Source organism: Homo sapiens, chromosome 2, assembly GCF_000001405.40.
Source record: "Homo sapiens chromosome 2, GRCh38.p14 Primary Assembly".
Classification (NCBI taxonomy): domain Eukaryota; kingdom Metazoa; phylum Chordata; class Mammalia; order Primates; family Hominidae; genus Homo; species Homo sapiens.
The window spans coordinates 189,736,921-189,746,659 of record NC_000002.12 but is presented as its reverse complement, the minus strand read 5'-3'; the positions used below and the strand labels follow the sequence as shown (position 1 = coordinate 189,746,659).

The 9,739-nt window shown below is 35.7% G+C and overlaps 1 protein-coding gene across 20 annotated transcripts in view; it reads right to left on the bottom strand.

Annotated features, from left to right (window-relative positions):
- ANKAR (ankyrin and armadillo repeat containing) overlaps window positions 1-9,739 on the bottom strand; it is an 88,390-nt gene that overhangs the window by 16,400 nt on the left and 62,251 nt on the right. For 7 of the 20 annotated variants that reach the window (XM_011510673.3, XM_011510679.3, XM_011510675.3 and 4 more), the window contains 6 exons: window positions 8,819-8,977; window positions 7,978-8,095; window positions 5,209-5,318; window positions 3,186-3,385; window positions 1,872-1,918; window positions 10-280 (listed from right to left, as the gene is read on the bottom strand). In XM_011510673.3, the coding sequence (XP_011508975.1) occupies window positions 33-280; window positions 1,872-1,918; window positions 3,186-3,385; window positions 5,209-5,318; window positions 7,978-8,095; window positions 8,819-8,977 (882 nt within the window). In that variant the 3' untranslated portion in view covers window positions 10-32. Of the gene's footprint in view, window positions 1-9; window positions 281-1,871; window positions 1,919-3,185; window positions 3,386-5,158; window positions 5,319-7,977; window positions 8,096-8,818; window positions 8,978-9,739 lie in introns of those variants that run through there. The other 13 variants (XM_011510681.2, XM_011510682.3, XM_017003413.2 and 10 more) reach the window with 9 other exon arrangements.

Below are 9,739 nucleotides of genomic sequence, written 5' to 3'. Positions count from 1 at the left end.
GCTCAGGAATCCTTTCATTCTAAAATGTTTTATTAGCCTTCTGCAGGCTCTGGGTTGGCTTTCTGGACATGTTTCCCAAGTTGGTTCAAACACACTATTCTTGGTCTTGATACATTTGTGATATCTGATGTAATTGTAGATGAAAAAGAAAAAATATTATGGGAATCCTTGGTCTTTTTTGTTGCTTTGAAGAGTCCCATGAAGTTAGTTACAGGAGGTAATAAAGTCAAAGAATCTTTTGGTTGAATTTTAGGTTTTAATTTTCTTCGGTGCTCCTTCCCTAAAAATTAGCCACAATTAAATGTCTCTCCTGAGAGCCCTAGGTATAGTCTCATTACTTCTACTTCTATGTAGTTCTATTTTCTTTACATAACTAAAACATACTAAGAGAACAGATCAGTACTTCCAGACATTTAGATGTCAGGGGCCAAAAATTTGTGGGGACCACTATATGGTTTGCTAGCTTGTTATGTCAAGTTAGCACCAATAAGAGAACGAATACTACTTTAAATATCATTATGTAAAATAAAGAATATTTTAATACTAAAAAAAGTGTAAAAGGCATTATCTCAAAATGATGGACTTGATATTGAATGAAATTAATTTTATCAGAAACGTGCTACCTTGCCCTTATTTTTTCTTATGTTACTACAAACCTGTGAAAACTTCATCAGATCATGACTGATAAACAGGTTGTTGTTTAGAAACCAGTGTTAAAGTGAAGAGTGAACTGACTATTCTTTTATGTAAATTACTCTAACATTCAAGAAGCTATATAAAAAATGGATGCTTTTCTACCCATGATATTCTATATATATTTCTATATAGCCTCCCCACATACCTAGCTTCCCTCATATACTGGCTGAATACATGAAATTGTTTCCTCTCCTTTTACTGTCTTTTTAAATTCTCTTCCTTTCTGTTTGTGACTCTAGCAAACTGATCTTGACTTCTGAATGTTTCTATCCTTGATTTTCGTGATAGGACAACGTATCAAGACTGATTTTGGTCCTACACGAACAAGCACTAAGCAGATATGTGAAATTAACAAGTAATTTATATTCCCTATTACATATCTAATAGGAAGGGATAAATAATATGAGATCTGGACTCTGATCTCTGCAGATCTAGTCCATTCAAGTGTAATGTACCAACTATGTACAAAACTATATAGAGTATCAATGGAAAAAATGTGGTCTCTGCCCTGAGAATTCAGATAGGTAAGTTGTTTCAGATATAAAACAGCAAAGTCATATTTACAGGTTGTTTAAATAATGACTTACTTCTATGCATGGTTTGAGAAAAGCAAAATAAGACAGGAGTCACTTTCAAGTGATATAATAGGGAAGGCCTTACAGAAAATGATCAATATGGGCTTGTAATTAGGAAGATATTTTAGGTAGACAGAATTACAAAAGAGAAGTATGCAGGTAAACTTTTTTGTGGGGGTACCCTCTACTTTTTTTTTTGAGACAGAGTCTCACTCTGTCACCCAGGCCAGAGTGCAGTGGTGCGATCTCAGCTGACTGCAGCCTCTGCCTCCCAGGTTCAAGCGATTCTCCTGCCTCAGCCTCCCAAGTAGCTGGGATTACAGGCACGCGCCACCATGCCTGGCTAATTTTTGTATTATTAGTAGTAGTAGTAGTAGTAGTAGTAGTAGTAGTAGTAGAGATGGGGTTTCACCATATTGGCTAGGCTGATGTTGAACTCCTGACCTCAAGTGATCTGCCCACCTCGGCCTCCCAAAGTGCTGGGATTACAGGCATGAGCCACTGTGCCCGGCCTACATTTTGAATTTTTAGAGATGGAATACAGAATTATAAAGTGTCTGGGCTAGAAGGTACTTCATAGATAAAAGAAAAATCAATTACCTCTTTTAAAGATAGGAATTATGGATGGTCCTCCATTCTTCTCCAGACTAAAAGGAAAACATTTTTGTCATTAAAATAAATGAAGACATAATGCACCCAGAAAAAATATATGAAGAAGTATATGAAGACTTACAGTACCAGGTTTAATGCCTAATGGCCTAATTCATACATGTTACCTCCACTAACTCTGCATGTTATCTGTAAGTATTTTATATTCAGTCACTCATTTACTCACTTATTTACTCCAAACATTTGGAACATTAAATCTGCTTGAAGTGATGAGGGAAGGTGTTACAGAAGAGACACTTCAGCTGGGTTTTGAAGAAGATAGGTCTGAGAAAGGGGTATATTTTTCTAATTCCTACAAAGTCGTCACATGGGCTAGCTGTGGGAGTGACTGTGTAAAATACTACTTACATTATTTATCTTAATTCCTTGAACCAATGAAAATTATTTAGAATTATCAATTATAATGTTACAATTTAGCTTCCCTGGCTTATAAAATTAGGTCACCCATTTTAGACTTTCGGCTTTTCAAAGAATTAAAGTGGCTCCAAAGATGTACTCATCATTCTCTGTACTTAAAATTGATGTAGAATCTATGTTTGTACATGGGTCCTATTCGGATGCACTATTGGATCCTATTCTCTTCCGTTATCATAGAGTTAACGTATCTTGAGTAGTTCTATTTCCTATGTATGAATATCACTACTTGGAGAGAAGACTTGTAATTCAGCTACATTTACAGAAGAGAAAATATACCCATAGTAGAGATTCTCTTCTCCTCCCTTTTTGGGGGGAGTTAAGTTTGTGATGAAACCACAACATTGAGTCAAAATCCTCTGAATACCTGGCAAACTTCACTGTAACTAACCACTAAGTCTAATTTAGCCCTGTTTCCACCCTGGGAATTTGGCCTAGCTTTGGATCTGGTCCGGAAAACCCATTTGATGCTAAGGTCAGGTGGTGGTCTTGTCTCAGAACTCTCAAATGTATCCCTAGTCTGCTAAAAAGTGACTTCTTGAATCAGATGTTGTGGTAACCAGTCTCCCCAAAACTTTCTAAAATGTGAATAATCCTGGCCAGAGAGGATCTCTAAGATCTAGATGTGTTCTTGTCTGCACCCACAACTCTGGTGCTGAGTTGGAATTAAAACAGGTTGTGGCAGTGGTCATTTAGAATAAAGTTTATCCTCTGCTATACAGGAGATATGTTCATATCAAGAATAGTTCCTCTTGTTGGATCTTACTAAACCTCATTAAAGTCTCCTCTATCGATGATTTCACTACTGCAACTTCTAACATAGGACCATACCTTAAGGAAGGAAGTCCCACCAGTGTTTGTTGCATTTGAAATTCCTTTAAAAATGCTGGGTTAATACTTGCATCTCTGCTGATATTATTTTTTATACGAATGAACTGATTAGGTTTATTCCTGCATTCTTTTAATAGGATGCGGAAAGCATTTGCATTGTATGTTAAGTAGCCAAGAGCAGAGGAACAAGCTGCACGAACCTAAATGAAGAAACAATTCTTTCTTAACCAGTGGGCTTTGTTCTTAAAATATCTTAATGTTCTAATTAGCTATTTCATAGGAAAGTCTCTGTAAGGGAGGGAGCAAGTGTAAGCAAATATGTATGCAAACAAATGGCAGTGTATAGACGGAAGCTTAACTGCCATATTTTTACAGAGAGCTGTCAACTGCCATTGATTTCTAGTGGTTGTTCTCAGTCTTAACTGCATTTTAGAACCACCTGGAGTGTTTAAAAAAAAAAAAGCCCACCAACTAAATCAGAATCCTTTCAGGGGTGTGTGTGTGTGTGTGTGTGTGTGTGTGTGTGTGTGTGTGTGTGTGTGTGTGTGTGTGTGTGTGTGTGTGTGTGTCAGGTAATTCTAGTGTGTGTGTGTGTGTGTGTGTGTGTGTCAGGTAATTCTAATGTGTGTGTGTGTGTGTGTCAGGTAATTCTAATGTGCCACCAAAGAAAGAACTTGAGTTTGAACTAAGGTAGTGGATGCAACCCTGACAATGCATTAGCATCACCCATATAACTTTGACAATTATGCCTGGGTTCCATCCCTAGAAACTCTTATTTAATTATTTTGTTTATCATTCTCAAAGGAGTAGGAACAGACACTTTGGAGAATAGCTAAGTGGTACACATAGGAAAGCTGAACTCTTGGTAACAGAAATCTTAGAGAAAGCAACTTATTTATTTATTTATTACTTTAAAAAAATTTTTTTTTAACATTCAGACGTTACAAGAGCAACTCACTTTTCCACTGGCAAAAACAGAAAGAAGCACAAGTGTCAGGCCACAGGACTCTAGAAAAAATAGTTCTTTGAAGAAAATACCCTCTGTCTATGACCCATAGATTGGTCATATGATTAATTAAAGTATGTTCCTGGCCAGTTGTAGGGAATATGATAGTAGCATAAAAAGTTTCATAGAATGAACATATTGGTCTTTATGTTGGCATCCGGTTGCTCTGTATGCTCATATGTCTTCTAAACCTTGAACCCTGGACCTGTAGTTCAGCTGCTGGGAACTTGTTCGAAATGCAAATTCTAGGGCCCACCTCAAATGTATTGGCTCAGAAACTCTAGGAATGGGGCCAAGCAATATAACAGGCCCTCCAGGTGATTCTGATATACCCTAAAGGTGGAGTAACACTGCTTTAGACCTTAGTGGAAGAGAGTAGGGGAACACTCAGAGGCAAGCCACTGCTGTGACCAGCACGGCCTCTTTCACACACCCTTACATCTAACCCTGCTTGACACATAAGGAAAGCTATCCTATGAATTCCATTTTCATTCATTTCAAATCATAGAAATAACTTAGATCAGAGTCACCGGTTTTCATTAGATACTTAGTAAACAATTATAAGTTTCTTTGTCATCAACGTACTTATAGATTGACTCTTAATTCCAGGATTAAGATGACTTATTTTGTAGGGTTTTGTTTTTGTTTTTTAAATCAGAAACTAATTTGAACAGGTAGTTCTTTTTAAATCTTTAATTGTAGTCGTTTTATACTGCTTTTGTGATTAAAATCCTAATTTTAAGTCTTAGGGTTAAAACAAATGTATATTTTTATAGGAATTAAAATTGTGGATGGCAGATATGTATGACTAATTAGTATTAGAAAAGTCATGTAATTTTGAGTTAGTAACAAGAACTATATTATATATATAACACAGTCATGTAATTTTGAGTTAGTAATAAGAATTATATTATATCTATAACACAGTCAATCAGTGGAAAAATTAGTCCACAGAGGGAGAGGTAAATTATATTTTTAGCATATTTAATTTTAGAATTAGTTTTTGCTTGTTTTTACCTCTTCTATTCCCGAGTACAAATGATAGCAGAGCCGTTGGATTGTTCCTAATGTGGTAAATGCTTCTGGGATACCAGCTCTAGAATGAGCCAGGCTTGCTATTAAATTCCCTATAAATTAAACAAGAAAAATGCTTGTGTTATTTAATTGATATAAACTTATAATACTTTCATTAATTGCACATAGCACTGAAAAAAGTTTGTGTCACAAGACATCTCTGTCAATGAAGCAGCACTGAGAAAAAGCATGCATATGTAAATATAGAATAAACTCCCCAAAATTACAGTTTGGTTTTCTGTCACAAATAGTGTAAATTAAATAGGTTTATGTAAGGGTGAAAAATTTGAAAATTAGAGGTTTTCTTTCTCCCATATCTTCAGAATATATTTTGTTTTGAAGTTTTTAGGGTTTTAAAAATAACTATGAACATAATGATTTAATTATCATAAGAAAATTTAGGCCGGGCGTGGTGGCCCACACCTGTAATTCCAGCCCTTTGGGAGACCGAGGTGGGCAGATCACCTGACTTCGGGAGTTCGTGACCAGCCTGACCAACATGGAGAAACCCCATCTCTACTAAAAATACAAAAATTAGCCGGGCGTGGTGGTACATGCCTGTAATCCCAGCTACTCGGGAGGCTGAGGCAGGAGAATCGCTTGTACCTGGGAGGCAGAGGTTGCAGTGAGCAGAGATCGTGCCATTGCACTACAGCCTGGGCAACAAGAGCGAAACTCCGTCTCAAAAAAAAAAAATTAATATGTCCTTTTTGCGGTTGAAATGGCTTTGAGTTAAGCCTTATTAATACTTTAAAATCAATCAATGTATTGCTTATTGAGGTTTAAAAATCACTGAAGTTTTTACATAAAAGTAAATGTTTTCAGATTTAAAATAATAAAGTGTCCCAATAATTAAATGTGCAGCTAGCAACTGAATATTATTTCATTTATATTTGTTTGAAGATAAAAATGTATTTTCATATTTCTGTGTGGAGTATGTGGATACTTTATTGAGATATGACGTGAGTTTTTGTTCTCCTTATATTTTTGTCTGGCCTCTATTATAAGCCAAGAAATTCCTTGTGTTTATTGCCTCCGAATGGGGAAAATTGGTTGTATCATCTAAAGCAAAAATTGTCTAAAGGTAAGCTCTATTTAAAGTTAAAAAGACCCTTTAAAGATGGGAAGTTAGAAATGGAAACAGACCAAGGGAGCAGCTAAGAAAGAGAACTAAAGTTTATAGTTCTCAAAGGAGTAGAAGGAGGAACTCCGAGTAGAGAATAGCTAAGTGGTATAAATAGGAAAACTGAATTCTTGGTAACAGAAATCAGTTTCCTAAAAACTTCTGTGCCTTTGGAGCATCTTCTGGAAACCATGTCAACTTGACACCAAGCACATCAGTTATTTTACACTATACCTGAGGCCTGAATATCAAGCTTTGCCTGAGATACCCTGGACATGCATATGACTGGTTGTGGAGTGCAGAGAAAGTCCAGTAATTTCTGAGATTCATTTCTCCTCATCCTGGAGGAATTAATTTAATATTTGAAAGCCAATGTAATATGGCATTTCTTTCCTATAAGAGTTTGTGGAGGCCAGGTGTGGTGGCTCATACCTGTAATCCCAGCACTTTGAGAGGCCGAGGCGGGCGGATCATGAGGTCAAGAGATCGAGACCATCCTGGCCAACATGGTGAAACCCCATCTCTACTAAAAATACAAAAACTAGCTGGCCTTGGTGGTGCATGCTTGTAGTCCCAGCTACTCGGGAGGCTGAGGCAGGAGAATCGCTTGAACCTGGGAGGCGGAGGTTACAGTGAGCTAAGATCGCACCACTGCACTCCAGCCTGGCAATAGAGTGAGACTCCATCTCAAAAAAAAAAAAAACTGTGGAGTCTAAACCCACTACAGTTGTTTTTCAGAGTCACAGAATTACTATAACATTGAATTAATAATGTTATTTAGATTAAAACATATTTAATAACTTCTTTAAACTTTTTTTCTAGCTAGTTTCCATCAGAAAGTTTTCATTGCTTCATTTTTCCTTCCTTGCCATGCACATATACTTCATAAACATGTAATTCTATGGCATCAAGTAAAGTTTCCTTTAGTGATACATTTTAATTAAAAAACAAATACTTATTTGTTTATATTGGTAGTAGTCACTGCATATTACTCATTCTGACCCTGCCTTATGTTACTTTAAGAGTGGCATAACAAGTCAATTAAATATTACTGATCACCTATTATGTGTGAGCTGTTGGGTTAGGTCTGCAGTAGACACAGTTATACAATAGCAATAAATGTGTTGAGAACGCTATGGGACCATCTTGCTTTGCTTTGTTGCACAGCGATGTAAAGAACTTTTCAGTGTTAGCAAAATGTGCACAACTGGACAAAAGGAAACCAGACAGAGGTACATCTGTGTAAATCTGCCACCACTATTATAAATCAGTTTTTTTATTTTGCTGTTTGTAGGTCATAGGTGAATTCTCATTTATATCTTGGAAAAAAAAGTTAAGGGTTTGAAAAAGTAATTAGGAAAGCAAAAAGTCTGTATTCAGAGTTACTCAGCTTCTGTTTGGGGTACAGAGTAGACACCCATTGTTTCGTGTAGACTTGCTGTGGAGTTCCATGTAGATATAAACATAAGTTCGTTCTTTAAACTTGTGGCAGTGTATCAGGCGTATTATTTTATTATTATTCAGATTACAATAAACTGTTTTTGAAAATAGTTTTATGTGGCTAAAATTAACTTCTAGTCATTTCTTACCTGTCAAGACAATAGTAGAAGTCTGAACTGAATACAGACTATCAACTAAAATAGTAACACCTCTTGCAGACAAAGTAATATGGTCCATATCTCTAATGACTTTAGCCAGTACAACAATCTGAAAACAGAAAAGAAGCAGAGAGTCTTTGAACATTTTCTACTCAGCTTCTCTAATTACACGTTTGTCATTTTTTATGTTTTTTTTTTAATTCTTTTGATACTTCTTAAAGGGAGTGTTTAGAGGATTCAATAGAAGCAGCATGTGGTGGTGGGGAGAGTTAGAGTATTTGTCCCTGTCTGGTCATAGCAGTGATCATAGGGGGTACTATTATTCTTCCTACAATGTTTGCAACTTTTGCACCCTTTCAATATGGGTTCATAGAAATTACTTCTCTTAAAGGGCACAGGATAGAAAATGAAGAGAGAGAATAAGACTTCCCAGATACATACAGTTGTTACTAGGTTGAAGGATCAGTGTGATCAACTAAAGATTTGCAGTTAGAAAACCTGTCTTGGATGCTAACATGTTTTTCTACCTATTTACTTTTAATATGGGGGTGATGAAAATAATACTACCTGATTGTCAACCTTACAGGCTTGTTATAAACATCAGATGAGGTATAAAGGCATAAGCAAGTGTCTTATAACTTGTAAAATTCTGTATTAATGAAGAAATCCTCATAGATAATGGAGTTTTTATGAGGTAGAAGGGGCTTATGTGCAAAGTACTAAGTTTTTACAAATAAGTAAACGTTTTTCTGGGCCTCCAAATTGTTGTAATTTTCAAGTTTTCACAAAATGACATATTTATTAATTTGAGGTGTTAATCTCAATTTTATACCTGAAATGCTGCCATTGCCTTCTCAGTTTCAACTGTTGATTCAAGAAAACGTTCAAAAATAGATATGGTCATTATTCCACTTTCCAATATTAAGTATTGTTGAAAGCGATTATTGAAGGCAAAAAGTGTTAATGCATAGCCTGCTCTTAAGCAAATATCCTAAAAATAGGAGAAACAGGCATTATGGTGAACTTCATTTATCATGTTACTCAACATAATAGACTTTAAGTTCTTGCTCATTAAAATATATTGCATTCTTATCACTGGGAGTAAAATATGACATTACTAGGGAAAAGAGATAATAGTTACTCTAGAATGTTGTAACTTTCAACATTTCAAAGTAGAGTTGATAAATCAAAACTACCCTTGTATATAACATGTTATCTATTGCATTCCATACATTGTTGGGTATTCCATATCAATCTCTTAAATTCATTTGTAAAATTCCATTGTACTATATTTTAAGGAAGAATAGGAGAAAAATAATGTATTCTGAAGAATCACATTTTAACATTCTGAGGCTGGGCAAACAGCAAAAGCTAGTTTCTTCTGTAGAATTAGTCTGCTTGCCAGAGATATATAAGTATGGCAGACCTTCCAGAAAGATTCAAAAGATAAAATCTTATTACTAAATCTTATTTTTAATATTAAAAATAATTCAATATATTGTATTATTAGTATGTTATTTGAACAATGTATTACAACAGAAAGAACTCATTCATCTTGGTGAATTTTCTTTTCTTTTTTTTTCTTTTTCTTTTTTTTTTTGAGACAAAGTCTCCCTCTGTCACCCAGGCTAGAGTGCAGTGGCGTGATCTTGGCTCACTGCAATTTCCACCTCCCAGGCTCAAGCAATGCTCCCACTTCAGCCTCCCAAGTAGCTAAGACCAAAGGCGTGTGCCACCACACCTGGCTAATTTT